Source organism: Homo sapiens, chromosome 5 (assembly GCF_000001405.40).
Source record: "Homo sapiens chromosome 5, GRCh38.p14 Primary Assembly".
In the NCBI taxonomy this organism is placed as follows: Eukaryota; Metazoa; Chordata; class Mammalia; order Primates; family Hominidae; genus Homo; species Homo sapiens.
The window spans coordinates 124,395,781-124,414,223 of record NC_000005.10 but is presented as its reverse complement, the minus strand read 5'-3'; the positions used below and the strand labels follow the sequence as shown (position 1 = coordinate 124,414,223).

General features: G+C 38.9%; 2 long non-coding RNA genes across 2 annotated transcripts in view, besides 3 other annotated features; one reads left to right on the top strand and one right to left on the bottom strand.

Annotated features, from left to right (window-relative positions):
• LINC01170 (long intergenic non-protein coding RNA 1170) overlaps window positions 1-18,443 on the top strand; it is a 378,727-nt gene that overhangs the window by 24,297 nt on the left and 335,987 nt on the right. The gene's annotated exons all lie outside the window — the stretch shown is intronic.
• Window positions 3,382-3,451: a silencer, noted in NCBI's record as "silent region_16277". NCBI's record gives its function as "represses an Ori minimal core promoter by ATAC-STARR-seq in GM12878 lymphoblastoid cells {active_cell/tissue: GM12878}" and the evidence as "EXISTENCE:reporter gene assay evidence [ECO:0000049][PMID:35858748]".
• LOC105379155 (uncharacterized) lies at window positions 4,163-10,714 on the bottom strand. Its single transcript, XR_001742872.2, has 3 exons — window positions 10,644-10,714; window positions 5,835-5,949; window positions 4,163-4,463 (listed from the first exon to the last, which is right to left on the bottom strand). It is a non-coding gene; the product is annotated as an uncharacterized LOC105379155 (long non-coding RNA).
• Window positions 11,911-12,080: an enhancer, noted in NCBI's record as "experimental_80867 CRE fragment used in MPRA reporter constructs". NCBI's record gives its function as "activates a minimal promoter by MPRAs in K562 erythroleukemia cells, with activity observed for the non-introgressed 5:123737922 or rs257701 variant allele {active_cell/tissue: K562}" and the evidence as "EXISTENCE:reporter gene assay evidence [ECO:0000049][PMID:34662402]".
• Window position 11,995: a transcriptional cis regulatory region, noted in NCBI's record as "Neanderthal adaptively introgressed variant 5:123737922 (GRCh37/hg19 assembly coordinates) or rs257701 in the experimental_80867 CRE". NCBI's record gives its function as "modulates activity of the experimental_80867 enhancer by MPRAs in K562 erythroleukemia cells {active_cell/tissue: K562}" and the evidence as "EXISTENCE:reporter gene assay evidence [ECO:0000049][PMID:34662402]".

Below are 18,443 nucleotides of genomic sequence, written 5' to 3'. Positions count from 1 at the left end.
GAGGGTACTAAAAAAACTCGCATGCCCTGGTTCCCCTTGGAGTCCTTCCGGCTGTTCAGATCTATCACTCCTCCATGTGCCTCGCACCCACCCCACCTTTGAGAAGCTCACTAAGTTTTCGTGAGAGGGAGCCTGAGGATCTCAGCTGGATGACAGTGCAGAACACACAGTAGCCCTAGGAGGCAGACGTCCTGCAGTCAGGAGAGGTCTCAAGACCCATCTGTCCTGGCAGTTTGCAGAAGCCTCAGAGGACTCTGGACTCCAGAAAATAGACTTTGGAGCATTAAGGTAATTCCACCTTAGCTCTCTAGGGTGGAGCCTCCAGCTTACATTTTGGTTACATTTATCTTTTCTATCTGAACATTTTTCCAGAACTGACCATGCATTTCCCACTATGCTAGGTGGTTAGCTCTTATTTAATCATCCCCACTACCCTATGGAGTCAGTGCTGCTATCTCCATTTGACGATACAGAAAGGTGACATGCAGGTTCACAGCTGGTCAGCAGTAGATGGATTCTGGCTCCTGCTTAGCACCCCCCAGTGCTTCCCTGTTACTTACATGTTACATCCTAGGCTTCTTACATGACCCCGAGACCTTGTGGGATCTGACGCTGCTGGCCTCTCCTGCCTGACTTTTTACCTCTCCCTGCCTTCTTCTCCATGCTCCAGCCTATTGGACAAGAGTGTTTAGAGAAACCAGCCCATGCTCATTTCCACCTCTCGGTCCTGGAGTCACTACTTTCTCTTCCTGGTCTACTGTTTCCTTCCCTCTTCGTTTGGAAGACCTTGACTCTCTATCCCCAGATGCCACAGCTGTCTCCCCGGCTAAGTGTGGGGCACACCCACATGCTGCCATCATGCCCTATTCACACTTCTGTACTAGTGGTTCACCACCAGGCAATGAGAGCCTGTGAGTGCCTCCCTGGCTGGGATGGGATAGAGAACATGCACTGTAAGGGTATAAGTAAACTACATTCAAGTTAGCAAAATAATGATTATGAAGACCGGTAAGGTCATAAAACTAAGACAAGTTTTGATTTTTCCTAGTAGAGCTGCTTAGAAGATGATATGAAGATACTAGAATTTTGTTATATTGACTGTCAGTGAAAGAACAATGAAGTTGGAGGGGCAATGGGCAAATGTCAAGGATCAGGAAGTAGACCTCAGTTTCTCATTTTCTACTCACCTACTGTTGTGGGAGGGACCCAGGGGAAGGTAATTGAATCATGGGGCCAGTGAATAAGTCTCACGAGATCTGATGGGTTTATCAGGGGTTTCCGCTTTTGCTTCTTTCTCATTTTTCTCTTGCTGCTGCCATGTAAGAAGTGCCTTTCGCCTCCCACCATGATTCTGAGGCCTCCCCAGCCATGTGGAAATGTAAGTCCAATTAAACCTCTTTTTCTTGCCAGTTTCAGGTATGTCTTTATCAGCAGCGTGAAAACGAACTAATACACCTGCATAGGATACTGTCCTGTAAACATTTTGTTCTTGCCGCCCCCTACTCACCTTTCTTTCCTTATTTATTATTCTGATTTCTAGTACTTTAAATCTGCTTGCACTTTCAGATTCTTTTTACCTAGAGAATCAGTGGGTGTGGTGGAGAGACTAATGGCCCCCAAAGATTCCTACATTCTAATTACTAGAAAATGTGAATATGTTGGGTTACAGAGAAAAGAAGAATTAAGGCGGCTAACCCTGGGTTTTCCTGGTGGGCCTAATTTAATCACAGGCATTCTTAAAAGTAGAAGAACAAGGCAGAAGAAGTCAGAGTCAGAGGGATATATGCCTATGGAAGAAGAGTTAGAAAAATACAACCTTGTATCATTTTAAGCTGCTAAATTTGTGGTAGTTTGTTATAGCAGCAATAAAAAACTAATACAGTGGGTGACCAAAAACACCCACAGAAAATTCCTCTTTTTAGGCCCAATGGTTAGGAGCCCAGGCTCTGAGGATGCCCGAGTTCAATCTTTGGCTCTTGAGATGTTGACTGAACCCCTTTGTAGCGTTATTGTGAGAATTAGCTGGGCATGGTGGCACATGCTACTTGGGAGGCTGAGGCAGGAGGATCACTTGGGCTCAGGAGTTCAAGGCTGCAGTGAGATATAATCGCACCACTGCACTCCAGTCTAAGCAATAGAATGAGACCTTGTCTCTTTAAAGAAAATTCCTTGTAGTATTATGAGAATTAAGTGAGTTAATATATCTAAAGTGCTTAAAATGGTGCTACTAAGGCCCTGGTAAGTTGTTGCCGTTATTATTATTTTTATATTCCTCTGCTGATTATGGCACCTTAGCCAGGAGCAGTTCTAATTTGCAAATAAACTTGTATTTAGTAAATATTTGCTTCATGTATATGCATAGAAAAAAAATAAATCCAACAGCTTAATTTGAAGATCTGAATTTATACCCTAGCTTTGCATAGAAGCCTTGGCATTGGTAGATTAGAAGAGCTCTATCTTTGAGATCTGGACAATTTTTCAAGCTAAGTATATAGAACAAGCTCAGAATACACAAGGGCAACTGCGTTTAAATCAGATGGAGAATGCTACTTCACAGAATTAGCTGATTGCCAGTGAGCAAGACAGGTTTTGATTTTTCCGTAGTTGAACTGCCAGGAAGAATTTGAGAAGTTGAGAAAACTGAGTTAGGTGATGGTATTTTTCAGCCATTTTATAAAAGTATGGCAAGACAAAGAGTTTTTTAAAAGACATATTTCAAGATGGGATGGGGTCAGATTTTGTTTAAAAAGCTTATTTGCCAAAAACCACAAAGGCTTTTTTGTTGTGATGTCTAATTTGGAGCTTTTCAATATTTCTATCTGCTGATGCAAAGAATATTTGCATTGGTATACAGAATGGTTTTATATGTTATTTGCAAGTCCAGCTGCCAGTTTCCAATGCAAATGAAAGTATTTGTACTTGCAAAAGACACCCACCTGCAGTCTGAGGATGATATAGCAGAAGGCTGGAGAGTTCTAATATGTATTTATATTTGAATTTCCACCTCCTTGTTCTCCAGTCTTAGTACAGACACTGTTTCTGTCCATCCCTAATTCTGTTAATTCTGTTCATCTCCTAGCCTGAAACACCTGTGTCTTCTTTGTCTGCTCCAACCTCTCCCACTTTTCCCTACTTTAGCTTCATCCTGTTAGTGGCAGAACCTACAGACTCCATAATTTCTGCCTCTCACATATACTCCTTCTTTCTATTCTCGCTGTCTGCTCTGTAATTCCTACTTCTGTTCCTCCTGTCTAGACCATGACCACAGCCTTCTCACGGTACAGCGTTTAGCCTTTCCCTCTTCTAATATGTTCTCTATATATTCAATTATTTTTCCTGAAGTGCAGTTTTGATATGGTCATCCCAGTTTGCACAACACTTCAATATCTCTTGCTGGCTACTTAACTAAATGTAAATCCCTGGCTGCAATATGCAAAACCTTGGTGTATTTCTAGTACATTCTGAGGTTTCTTCCCCACTGGTTCTGAGGCTGCCTGGGTTCATGCTGCACCCTCCTTCTGAAATGGCTTCTCACTTCCTCTTTTGCCCATTTGAAGCCCTACCTATTACTGAACCAAATTTCAAATAATAACTTCTAGCTTATCCCTGATTATCACTATACAAATTTACTGTATATTTTAGTGGAATTTTTATTTTACAGATGCATGTATACTTGCATTTCCCCCTAGAGTAGGTTCTTTGAGTGCAGGGTCTATGCACACTCTTAGATCTATGAATATCTCCTGCATTTGGCATATTACCTTGAATATGGTGGTGATTTAAATATATAAATTAAGTTCAATAATTTGTGAAGCTACTATTTTCTCTTTTTTTAAATGCAGATAGAAAAAGTTCTTGAAGCATATATCCTAATGTGAGTGTCCATGAAATGAGTAAGCATAGTATGTTTTGGTATCCCTGAGCTGTATTCTGCATCATAGGGTAGAAGAGGTGGATTCCCCCAACACACACACACACACACACACACACACACACACACACACACACACACACCATGTAATTATTATTTGGGCCTGAAATGAAATGCATGGCTTTATTTATGGAGAGGCCTCAAGGTGAAAGGATCCAGTCAGGCAGTTTAAGATTACCCTTAGCAATATTTATCTATGACTATGTAACAAATTAACCCAAATCTTAGTGGTTCAAAATAATAAACATTTATTATCTCACATAACTCTGTGGGGCTGGAATATGGGAGGGGCTTAGATGGTGATTCTGGCTCAGGGTCTTTTTTTGAGATTGCAGTCAACGTGGTAGCTGTGTGTGGTTGCAGTCATCTGAGGACTAGACCAAGGCTGGAGGATCCAATTCCAAGGTGACTTACATGGCGAATTAGTGCTGGTTATGGGTAAGGGGCCTTAGTTTCTCACCATGTGGTCACTTTTGTTGGGCATCTCGAGTATCTACTGGCATGGTGGTTGGCTTCTCCCAAAGTGAGTGATCTGAGAGAGAGAGGAGGAGACAGAAAGAAAGAGAGGGAAAGAGAAAGAGAGACAGAGAGCAAGCTAGAAGTGGTAATGCCTTTTATGACTTGGCCTAGGAAGACACACACTGTCATTTCTAAGTGATACACTTGCTCACATGGTCATCTATATTCAAAGTGGAAAAAAACTACATAAGGGCATGAATATAAAGAGGTGAAGACCACTGGGGGCTGCTTTAGAGGCTGGCTACCACTCCTCAGTAATTATTGTCCAATTATGTGTTTGGGACCCCATCAGAAAGAGAAGTTTGTTGCCTTCTCTTTAATTTCATGGAGTTTGGTGGAGCCTAAGGAACTGGACGTCAGATACGAATTTCCAGGCCTGGTCTTCTGGGAGGCTGCCTTACATTCTCCCCTGATTCAGTGATGCATAACTAGTGAGACCTTGATTTCTGGGCCTCTCAATCACTTTTGAAAGAATGCAGCAGCCTCACAATAAGGGCATAGCGATGAATGGATTTTGGACAAGAATTTGATTGAACATTTTAAAATAAGTCCTGATGCTGCCAGAATGCCCCAAGTACTTTTGACTTTTTTGTAGGGTTGATTTCTTTCAAATGGAAGGTATTTCTCTTTCCCTTTGGAAACAAATTCTTTTAATAAGTATCTGGATTGGCTTCAGTTATTTACTCGGCACTCTTTCAGCTGCAAGTTGATGATTAGATACATTCCATTTCAGTGACACACACATTTGAAAGGATTCACGCTTCTAATCAAAAAAGATAAAGTTTTTTTCTTTCCTAACATCTGGAGTCTGATGAATAATTACTATAATTAAACAAGAGGCCATTGTATATTTGGGTATTTTTTAAGCTTCAAACGCCTCTCTGTGTGCAAGATTCACGTTACGCACTCTTTGTTCTAAAGCATTCTACTGTGTAGTGCTCACAATCAACTGAGGCGCCTTAGTGGCTGGTGTTAAAAGTAGGTCATCGTGGCCTAATCTTTATCACTCCCTTCTTCTGCTTCACCAAACCCTTAGTAAGTAAACCCACTGCTCCTGTCAGGATTCTATACTCTGCCTCCCTACACCTCATGGCATGGAGGGCAGGACACTGGCCGGTCACCTGGGAGGTGTTAGCTCCTCTCCTTAGACTACTATTCCTGATTTAATGATACCACGTTGAAAAGTAATGCCATGCCAATGACTGTTAAGATGATTAAGGATACATTTTAGAGGCAGCAACGTGAGATATAAAATTGAAACAATCTGAGGTCAGGTTTGCAGTGAAAGTGTAGTACCTTATAATTTTTAGATGCCCATTTCCCATCAAGTTTTGCCAGCCCTGTCACCATCTTCTCACCTGGTCTCACCCCCAGGACTACTTACCTTGACATTAGAACATGTTCATTCTTTTGCTGAACTCTGGTGCTCTGCTAAGGCAAACTGACCTTGCACTGGATCTATCCAAGAACTTACTTCTTCCTGTGGACTTGGTACCCATCTTTCCGAGAGAAGACATGGAAATAAACCTAATTACTTAGAGCCTAGAAACTCTGCAAGCATCTGAAATCTTCATGTCTCTTTGAGTTCACCATTTTTTAAACTCCATAAGTGTTTATTTTTTGATAGGTGAAAACTTATAAAGAATTCTGCAGGCTTTTATGAAGAAATTGCTTTATATTTCCTAATATTCCTTAAATACCTTGTGCATGGTAGGTGGTAATAAATTCTTAACAGTTTGTTGTTTGATACTCATGTTTGGCTTATTGGATCATGGTGCCAGAGGCAAAAATAATTAGAAGGAGGATAGTATTTAGTAAAGCAAGACAAAATTAAGTTTTATTTAAAAATTATTATTATTATGATTGTGGTAAAATACACATAACATAAAATTTGCCATCTTCACTATTTTTAATTGTGTAGTTCGGTGGTATTAAATATGTTCACATGTTATGTAACCATCAACATCATCAATCTCCATAATGCTTTTCATTTTGTAAATCTGAAATTCCATACCCATTAAGCAATAACTCCCTATTTACCCCACCCCCCAGACCCTGACAACCACAATTCTATTTTCTGTCTCTATGGTTTAGACTACTTTAAGTACCTTTTATAAGTGGAATCATGCAATATTTGTCTTTTTGTGACTGGTCATTTTTCTTAGCATAAAGTTGTCAACCTTTATGACAACTTCTTCCATATTGTAGCATATGTAAGAATTTCCTTCCTTTTTAAGGCTGAATAATCCAAATTAAGTTTTGTAGCCTGATAAAATACTGACAGGTTGAACATCATAGAAAACCCTTTATAAAATCTGTATTTAAATAAATAGTTTCCATTCTATAGAGTATAATGTTGCGCTTATTAAAAGAGAAATAATGATAAAAACATGTATTTGATGTACAAACATTCTGCTTATGGCATCTTGAAGAATTTAGGACACAGTCACATTCAGGAATTACAGGCTAATGAGCATCTTCACCTCTTTTCATTCACTCTGAAGAGGTTTCATGAAAGTCAGAAGACTTTCAACATTGGGAATGTTGGAATGAAATGTGCTTTAGTATTTTTAATTTTTTTTAAATAAAATAATCCAGGTGAGGTTAATTAATGCATACACTCAGCCTAATCAAAAGAAATCTATTGGGATAATGAGCATTTTGGTGACTATTGCAAAGAAAAAGGTGCTTATTTCTAAGGCAGAAAGAAAATATATTTTCATAGTTAATATATACATTAAAATTGTATGTACTTGCATATTAGATATACACAGTGTTAAAGCTATGGCTAATATATCATTTTGGAGAAAAATCTGAGTAAAAATTAACTCTTGTAAAGAGTTACTGGTGTCAGATGGCAGAGTCCCAAATGAGTGGATTCGTTTATCCCCACAATGTATCAGGTGATCACCTCTCATAAAAACTACTATTAACCTAAAAAATTAGGGTCAGTAAAAGCTTAGCTCTAATTCACAAATCTCAACAAGCTGAACTGTTAGACCCAGTGAGCTCATTAGGATAGATTAAAGACCAAACATAATGACATTACGAAATATGTGATTTTAATATGTTTGATCCTATCAGAGCAATCCTTTTAATAACATGATTTTATTGTGGAACCTTGTATGTTTTCCTTAAAAACCAAAAAGACAATCTAAAAATTTAACCCATTGTTGTTTCTTAGCTTGTAACCCCGTGATACTTGATTTAATTTGGTAAAGCTGACTGAAGTGATGCTATTCTGGGACATAATGACAGCAAAGATGACATGAGCCAATGCTGCAGCTGAATTTCAATTTTCAGTAAAAAATCCTCACCCCACCTGCCACTGGAATAGAAATAATATCAAGGGCTAACTTCTAATCTTGCACCCCTGTCATACATCATACTCTGGATTCCAACAGTCTACACCTATTTTCTTTTATAATGGTCCTAACCCCAAACAAGCAACCTAGGGTTTGTAGCAACAAAATCAGATCCTTACAGTGAACAGGACTTTGCAAAGCACCTTCTTCAGAATTAGTAATATTACTTACTTAATATGGGAAAAAACATACAAATCTTACCATCAATGGGCCAACTCATAACCAACAATTTATAGCATACAAGAACCTTCATGGTATCTTATTCAACCTTTAACATAATTCTATTTGTTATCATTAATTCTAAATCACAAATGAGGAAACAGAGTCAGAAACAGCTGATTTTTCACTGTGCTTGGGTTAGGTCCAACTCTGGAATTATCATATGCAAATAATGACAGAGAGAGGCTCTCATATAGTTGTAGAATTGTAACAAGACAACAAGCAATTCACATAAGTCATGGTTTCTCAGACAATAATCTTGTTTAGTAATTATTAGTCTTTATCTGAAACACATGGTTTGATGGTAAATTTTTTGAATAGGCGATAATAAAAAATAATTCTCAAAAAGAACCCTCAAAGTCAACTGTGTGTATTTCCTTCTTTCCTGGTGGGGAAAGTTTATAAGGGTTGGGGCAAGTCCCTTCAGACCCAGGAATTTGATAAACACCATCAGGGTTGTTGAGACCAACCTCACTGTGAGAGAGAAACAGAATGAATGAGATGTTGATATAGGAAAGGAAGTAGCTGAATTAAGAGTGTTTTCTTCTTTACTAACAGCCAGTCCACACGTTGAAAAGCATTCAGTTACAATTTTTATCTATAAAGAGTGGAACATTCGCCCAATGTCCCAGTACAATAGGACCATGAGAGTGAAGTTCCCTAAAGAACTCAACCATTTCCATGGATAGATGGCAGAGGAACACAGCTTTGCTGTCAGAATGATTTGTGACCAGGCCTAGATGGGGACTGGGGGCATCCTGGCAGGTTGATAATTTTATTTTAAAACCATATTCTTTCAATATTTGTACATTTATATCGAAGAGAGTCTGAGCTCTGTGTGGGAGCAATGTGCAGTGGGAACTTCTGGGTCCCTCGGTGTCCCCTTTCATGTCTTAGGCTATTTGGCTCTACCAGGTGTGGATATTCCACTCAGCACGGCTGTGCCCACAGAGGCTGTGCCTCTGGCTTGCTCTTCTTGGAAGTCAGATGCAAATATCGCCTTCTCGGGTCTTAGCCCCATCTTAGTATCCCATCCTTTTCCCTAAGAAGAAACGTGGCATATACAAGTTCCTCCATCTTGTGACATTTCCACGATTCTCTTAGCCCCTCTTACAGAACAGTTTCCCAAGCAGCAGCCTGCCTGATCCACCCTTAATTCAGCTGTGCGTCTGACAACATGTTCTACAGGAAAGATAACCTTGTACATCAGGTGTTTCCTGTTTCCAGTACCAAAAGGTCAGTACTTGATTACACATGTATTTACAAGGGTAGAGAAGGGAAATGATCAAAAGTTTTTACAACCATAGTCCTTCAATTAAGAAAGAAGTGGTCTTTAATTTTCTCCATTCTTTTTAAAAATTCTCTTTCTACCTTTGTTTAAATATCTCTCCTAACTAGGAAAGACCTGTTGTACATCATACAAGGCATACCAACCCACATACTAGAACACATAAGTAGGAGGAATAGTGTTCTAGAAGAGAATTACTATTTGGAGAAAAAAAGGCATAATTTCCTTTTACAGTCATGCATTGCTTAATGCCAGAGATACGTCCTGAGAAATGTGTGATTAGGCAGTATCATCATTGTGTGAACATAATAGAATGTATTTACACAAACCTAGGTGGTATAACCCACTATTCACCTAAGCAATATGGTACTGCTCCTAGGCTACAAACCTGTATAGCATGTTACTATACTGGATACTGTAAACAATTGTAACCCAATGGTAAGTATTTACATATCTAAACATATCTGAGCATTAAAAAGGTACAGTAAAAATACAGTATTCTAGTCTTACAGGATTACCACTATATATGCCCTTTGTCATTGATGGAACCATCATTATGCTGTGCTTGCCTATATTTCAAAATTCACTATAAAAAGATAGGTGAACCTCAGATCCATCTCCTAGATGTATGATTTCTAGCTGCATATTAACCTCAGTCACATTTTAATATTATTCACACAAAAATTAAAACACTCAGGTATTTGTGATGAAGTAATTTTGCCTAAATTTATTTTATTTCCAAAGAACCTGCATCAATTTGATTCAGTAACATTTAAAATCATTCAACAAAAATCTTTCAAACTTTTATGTTACAGTAATATTCAAACTCTTTTTTTGTGGCTCAAATCTTTTTATGAACTTCAATTATGTGAAAATATCCAATTTTATTTTTAAATAAAGATGTTTAGAAATGTATTGATATTTGTCAAATCTAAGTTGCAGCTATGTAAGTTTTTATTAAGTCATTCTCTGTGTATACTTCTAAGTATGTTGGACTTCTTACATAAAAAATTAAACGTTATTGAGGAAAGAAAAGGGAGAATAAGTTTCAAAAAGAAATTTATCTTTCTTTAGATATATATAATCATCACAAAATATTATCAGATAACAAATCTTGAATTTTACTTTAAATGAAAACATTTTTCAGATCTGTCTTACTAATTTTATGTAATTCCTTTTCACATGTTTCGTGAGGCTGATAAAATGCTTCGTAAGCAGGTATTCATGTGGCTCTATAACAAGTTATTTTTAGGAAGCTTATATACAAAAATACTTGCCACACTTTCTCTCACTCTCTGGACAGTCAGACAAGAAGGCTCACTTTCTCCAGGAATCTCCTAGTGCCAGGTTCTGGGCTGTGGACACCATGCTGGCCAGAGGAAGCTGCTGCACAGGTACAGAGGTGCAGAGGGTGGGGCTGCACTGAGAGGGCGGGGCGGGATCAGAAGTAATTTGACCAGTTAGGAAGCTACTGCAATAGCAATATTGATTATTTACTATGTGTCAGATGCTGTGCCATTGTGCTAGGTGCTGGGCATAGGAGTGAAAAAGACACCAAAGTCCTCAGTTCCAGGGAATTAATTTTTCTAGTAAACAAACAAACCAAAAAACAAGGAAAGTCATCATTACTATGGAGAAAACAACACTGGATCTTGTCATAGCGACTGAGGCCTCCACAGAAGGTGGGCTGTGTGTGTGTGTGTGTGTGTGTGTGTGTGTGTGTGTGTGTGTGTGTGTATGTGTATTATTTGGATAAACAAATTAGGGCCCATCTTTGGAGTTGGGGATGGGGTCAATCCCACCAGAATAGTGAAGGGATGTTTTCCATTTTCTTTCAGTTTTATCCATTCTCTTTGTTTGTTTTTCCAAAGAAAAGTCCAGGCGCTGATCCAGGATGCAAAAATTCATCCCCTTTAAAAGCTAGTGCCAGTTGTGGAGTGAGGATAGAAAAAGGGGAAGGAGAGGGAGCTTTGTGAATTCTCACACTGTGGTAATTTTTATTCCTGTTACAAATTAATTTTAAAAATCTATTATATACATTTTCAAGTTACCAAAGTGAAATCATCACAGCTCAAGTGCCTATGGTAGCAAACATGGATATTGCATAAATATATGGTCCCTAATAAATAAAAATTAAAATATTTGTATCTAACTGGAGTGTTTTTTAAAGTTAAAAATTAAAAATGAAATTAAATGAGAGAATGGGGCCATCATTAACAATTTAAAAAATGCTTAGTCTTTGGAAAGTGATTTAAAGTAGTAATAATTTTTTACCTTTTAGGCCTTTAATGACTATCAGTCCGCTCATCCAGCAGGAATGCCCATGTTTAGATTTAGTATTATTAGAGTTAGGTGTGTGCATGGCACAGTCCCAGAGTTCCATGGGAACATTCCCACCAGGGAGTGAGAGTTTATGCAGAGCAGCATCTATACTTCAGGTCATTACTGCAATTAGGCTTATTCTCGTCAGCTCCTACTTGGAAAGGATTAATGTTTTGATGTTTATAGACTGTTACCATGATTTTATTGTGGGCTCTGAGCCACCAGTTATTGAATCAGGGTTTCGCAAGAAAATATTCCTGTTTCACTGATCTCAAGAAACAAGGCAGAGGAAGCAGTGCTTCTGGCCATAGAGTCCCTGTGGCATGGGGCTGGGTTCTTACTGGCAATGCCGAGTCATCTGGTCAGAACACTTTACAACCACACAAAGAGGGCAAATAAGTGCAGAGCCAGCTCCTCTGAGCCCACAAAAGGTCCTGTTGAAATCTATTAATCTCCTCCGCTGAAGGGCAAGTGGAGACGATGACAATACTGAGGTGTGGAATAGAAGAAATGTGATAAGCGGCTCTATTTTGTTTCCACCTCTAGTGGCTTAGGAACACAGAGTGTTCGAGGTTCAAAGAACTGAGAAACCTCAACAGCCTTAGAGGTTGATTGTGAATATGTGGGTTTCTCTTTAGTAACCTTAGAAGGGCCACATTGTTTAATTGAAAAACTCAATAGCCCTTGTAAGTTTTCAAAAGCAAAATTCTCTTTACGCCTATGATCTTACTAACAATCAGATAAAAGCTCTTTCTCATCACAGTCCACCTATAATTTTTAAAAGGAAATTACCTAATCTGGGATTATAAATAAAACCTAAATAAACACACCTAAACAGCTCACTGAGATATAAATACCTGTCTATGTTCACTCAGGTGTAGGTAATTAGAAAAGAAATAAATGTACCTGGGGCCCAGCCCTGAGGCAATGAGGAAATCAGGGGAGTTTTGTTTTGGGCCTCTTTCAGGTTTCACTGTGGGTGCTTTTCCTTTCCTTCTTGACAATCCTTCCTCTGTCCTTGCACCCTGCCTCCCAGAGAAACTCGCACATATCTCATTCAAACTTTTAGCCTCTGTTTGTTTCTAGTTCTCAGCTCCCTGCTCCCAACCCTGCTCAGTCATTAACTAACAATTCACCTCTGAACTTACCCGTAATGGTACCCAGAGGGTCTCTGAGGCATGAAGTTCAGGAATCAGATGGGGAAGGAGGACAGAGTAGGGTGGGGAGGGCAGTGGCGGGTTTGGAACTTCAGGGTGAGACATTGCGTCTGCTGCCTTCTCAGATCCACCTGCAACTCACCAACCCAGCACTGGCCTATGGCCTTTCCACTCCTATTGCTTTTGCTGGCTGAGATCACTGGATTTTCCTTTGTATCTTTTCTTATTTATCTCATACCTTCCAAAATCTTCAGTAAACTGGAAAAAGTTCAAAACAAGCAATTTAGAATTTAAATAACTAAAAATAATAGTTTAAAAATAGGTTGGTGCTACCCCAAGTATAGTTCCCAGACCAGCAGCCTCGACACCAACTGGGGGCTGGTTAGGAATGCTGACTCTGGGGCCCAGCCCACACCCATGGGATCAGAATATAACGAGATTCCCAGGTAATATTCATATGCATACTAAAGTATGAGAAGTTCTTCTCCCACCCCTGACAATTACCCATTAAGGATTTGAATGATGGACTTGCTTGATAAAGGAAATGCCATGGTGACATGGCACCACTCACCATGTGAGTGCTTTTCACTCACACTTGCCCTTGAAAGAATGATTTGGGAAAAAAATATTAACATCAGATGTTCATACTGAAGAACATTCTTTGTCTACTTGGGTATTTTTAGCCTGTGGGGCAGGAGTATGCCATTACTTGAGTGTTATGCTACCCAATTTGGAGGAAAAAAGATGTGGTAGGCAGATAAAATAGATTCGTTTCAAATCAGGAGGATTTTTCAAAGTTTAGAGGAGAGAATTCTGGGGTATAAACAAAGGGAATGAAAAAAAGGGAAGAAGAATTGCTCAGAAATCCAGCTATGGACTACGTATCCTCTTCATAGCGTTAGAGATGTCCAGGTTTCTAACATGAGTTATTTGGAAAGTACACTTTGATTTTAGGACCATGTTTTTTGATGGCAGCACCTAGCCTGGGTCTGGCTACATTGTCATATCTTTGGCAGGGTTATGAAGGATTGTACTTCAGAACACCAACATCAGATTCAAGACAGTGTCACTCGTTAAACTCTGTCAAGGGCTGGGTATGGTGGCTCATGCCTGTAATTCCAGAGCTTTGGGAGGCCGAGGCAGGAGGATCACTTGAAGATAGGAGTTTCAGACCAACACTGGCAACACAGTGAGACTCTTTCTCTATTACAAAGAAAAAAGAAAAAAAAATCTGTGAAGTATTCCACTAGGGAACATTATGTTTTAGGTCACATTTATCTGCAGACAATGAACTAGACAGTGATAAAAATGGTAGAGTCTAGAACCATGTTTTCAATGACCATATCACCTTTGCTTTCATATTTACTTGAGCTTAAAGAAGGCTGCTTTGGGCTTTAATCACTTTTGGGTTGCATTACATTATCCTAGCATCTCTGGGACAAAAACTTGTTATATATAAGATATATAACAGTGAATATGTATAAAGTGTAGAAATAAACTCGCCCCTCTTCATAACTAAGTGTACTTTAGCATTTTGGAAAAAATAATGTACAACATGCAAATAAAAAATAATTAAAACATGCCTTTGGACAAGCATGCCTATAAAAACTAAGCAAAACCACAATAGTTGAATAGGTATCTGGAACATTGTTCTTTGGCAGGGAAATGGCAGAATCCCAAAATTCCTTCTTTTCTCTTAAAAAAAATTAATCTGCTCCTTTGGCAGATTGTGTTTTTTAAAGATGATCACAGAAACATTTCCTATCTCACAAACCTTTTCTATAAATATGACTTTGACATCCTTTCTCACAAAAGCTGGGATCTATGTTGCTTCCCCTTGGCATCGGGCAGGCTTTGATGACTGTTTGAAACAACGGACTATGGTGGAAATGTCCTCTGTAAATTCTGAAGCTAAATCACAAAAGGCAATTTCCATTCTGCCTTGCTTGCTGGAATGCTTACCCTTTAAGCTTTAGGCTGCTAATTAAGAAGTCATTCTCTGAAGAAGTCCAAACTAGCTCAGATAGAGAAAATGGAGAGACCCTGAGACTACACACAGAGAGAGAGAGAGAGAGATGAAGGGATGCTGGGCCAGGCCCTAGGTAGTCCAGCCCCCAGCTGTTCCAAATCCACCACAGGTAGACTTTGAGTTACAACCGTCCAATCTAATTCCTCACCCACAGAAACCAGGGAAGAAGATAAAATAATTGCACTTTTTTGAAGCCACTAAGTAACTGGCTGCGCTTATGTTACTGGTTCCTGTTTAACACCATTTTATGTCTTCACGCCAGTTTTCTGTGGTGATATCTAAATCTAAGAAAGAATTAATGTTGTTGCAGTGGGGGCGACATTGTTCAAATGGTAAGGAAAATCTTTAAAGAAAGGCAAGACTTAGAAAAACAAAGCATGGTGAAATTGGGGTGTTGCGATACTGTCAATGTAAGGTAACAGGGTCGTGAAAGAGAAAATGGCAATCACTTGTGCAGTGATCATTCTCCGTGGGGCAGGTAGGAGCAAGGGAAATTAGGTTATGGAAAAAAGTTGGGACCAGATTATAGGGGTTATTAAGTGGCATACTGAGTTAGGCTTTCATCTGTGGACAAGCAGAACTGATTGATGCTGCATTTTGTATATATATGAAGTGGTTGTGGGGGATGGTGGTGCTGACCTAATTACCATGTGGCAGAGTTCTGATTGTGCATAATGTGGATGAAACATGCCTGATAAACTTCATCATGAATTCCATCTGAATACAATGCCAAAAACATGAAACATGCTTAGTCTTCATAATTCGTTCCTTATGTGGCAAGGCACATGCACACACTTTATAAAAACAGAGGGAATATTGCCCACAGCTGTATTTGGTCCACTCTTACACTCCAGAGATTTCACTCTTTTTTTTCTATTTTTATAACCATCTTTGTCACTTTCACTTCTTTCCTCTTTCCTGTTTTCGATTCAGCTGCAGCCATATCCAATAAAACACAGTGACAGATAGATGGATCTTACAGAAAATCTGCTGATTGCTCTCTCTGTAAACCTCAAATGTAAACAATAGAAGGGCATTTGTTTCTCTGTCATGTTTCTTTTACTACATAAAGATGGAAAACTGAATCAATGTTAGGAAAAAAGAATATGTTGTAGTTCCTCCCTGGTTGACTTTTTGTAGCCATTCACCCTTAAAAAAAGACTACAGCAAAATGGGTGGTTATGTCTTGCCTATTTCACTAGGGGCAAAATAATTTCTATTTTTCTAATTTTCAAAGTCTTTACTGAGGGAACTCTAGAAAAAGAAGTCAAAAATCCTAGTTACTGCAATTTGTATCGTTTTTAATTTCTCTGACTCTATAAAATAGCATAGGTAGAACAGGACACCAAAATAACATAAAAATGATTATATATGGAATATTCAAGAATCTTCTGGGTACTTGGTGTCATACATATCTAAATATGAAATATTTCGTTATTTCGAAAAGACTCAGGATCTTCACAAAATGACTGAAGTTCACCTCTCCACCTCTTCTTTCTCACCTCCTCTTTTAAATGACTCACCATCCCTCAACCAATAATTGAGACTGACACAGAAAAGATCTTTGAGTCCCCCACACAGTGAATTGTTTCTCAGTTTAGTTTTGGTTGTAGAGATACATGCTCTGCCCTGGTAAAGATCAGTTAGTTCTACCTGGACTCCAGTGTTTCTTCCACTTCTGAATATTACATTTGTATTTATACTTTCCGCAGCTGGAAAAATGCATTCCTTGGTCGGTAATATAAAGCACAGAAATTATGCCTATGTGGTCATAGCAGGTGAGTAACTCTGGTCCCTTGTGGAGTCAGATGAACAAGGATCCAAACAGCATTACAGATGGATAATTTAGGCACCATGTGGTCCCTTGGGGTTTGTACTGCTAGAAAACATTTTCAGTCCCAAGTAATAAAAATGACAGACAGTCACTCAGCCTACATGGAATTGTACCCTGTCACCTTTACTCAGGAAAATCTCCCTGTGAAGTCAGTGGGGGTTTTTAGACTGGGTTTGGGCCATAGAATATGCCCTTTTAAATGAAGACAATGGAATTAATGTTTAGCTGAGCAATTCAAGAACACTTTTCAGTGACATGTCTGAGAAATTAGGGAAATGTCATTATTTCCCTTCAAAGTGCATTGTCATATTGCTAGGCATCATGGTAGCCACCAATTTGTCTCTGAGGTTGGATTTGACTAGCTTATTCATAAAATTTCACAGGGAATATTGCTTTTCTTTTCTTTGCGAAAAGTCTGTTAAGAACCTCATTCTATCACTGAGTTCTGGCTAGTTGCTATCAGCATGAAGTGCCCAAGAGGGATTTACATATAATACCTTTTACTTAATTCTCTGAGGATTTTTGCTTAAGCACTTACACCAGCATAGAGTTAATATTGCAATGAATGTGGTAGTTGGAACGCAAATGTTATTCCCAAGGGAGAAAGAGAAAACTAGAAACAATCACAGGAGCAATTGTTGGGAAGCTGGAGAGGCAGATCCAGATCCCCTTCCTTCCCCTGACACACAGGCATCCTTCAAATAGTGTCAGGGCCAGCTGTGTGGATAGAATCATAATCTTACTTGACATTATTACTTATCGTTTTCAAAATATACTTACTCTTTTTAAAGTACAATTTCTCTTTACATTTCTGTTGGGTTTCTTTTTGGTAGCTCTTTAAAGTGATGGCAGGGGCTTAATTGCCACCCCATCAGCAATCTTAACATATTTCTTAATAAATTTCAGATACATATATTTGAACCCCATCATGCCATAGGTTTTCTATATCTTATGAGAGAATGGGATTGATAAAGTACAGGTAAGATGCGTGGGCTATGAGAGGCGGTGGATAGGAACTATTTATTTGATGCTTCAGGTTTTAGCATCAAGTTATTTGTGGAGTACAAAAAGAAAAATAAAATTGGTGTATACAACCATTGAGAAATGTAGCCTAGGTGTAATTGCTCCATTGGGTTTCTCCCTGTGGCCTATTTTTGCTTTTCATCAATAAATGTTCAGTGGGTTTTGCGTCAGGGTTTGGTTGGATGATGAACACGTATGGTGTCTCCTGTCCTCTGCAATCTGCCACACTCTCAGACAGTATATTTTTGATTGGCAGCTCTTGGTAGCAGATAGATGAACTAGAATACCTAAATGTGACAATGCTCACTTTGTTGCCCCTTCCTTGCCTTGCACTGTGGCTGTCTCGTTGTGTCCCTTTTTTCCAATCTGCAGACAGTATCACAGGATTCTGAGATCAGTTCACTCAATGTTTCACTCAGATTTTTCTCTCCTTACCTGTGTCAAGCTCATTCTGGTCCTGCGAAGTCCTTCGTAAAGTGCCAACAATCTGCTAATGTTCCTGGAAAATTTCGTAGATGCCATTTGCACTAGATTAATGTTGTACTCGTTTTGCATACACAACAGGCAGTGAGCAAATGAAAGTAGATTCTTAGCTGGGAGACTATCAAATAGGATATTGACCTCAATCCCAAATATAAGATTTGGAGATTAAATATCAAAATAGATCTCTCTGAATATTTTTCACTTGCTGCCTGATGGAAATGTGTCCAGTTTTCTTTTGAAAATGAGTGACTCCCAGACAAGTGTCTTGCCATA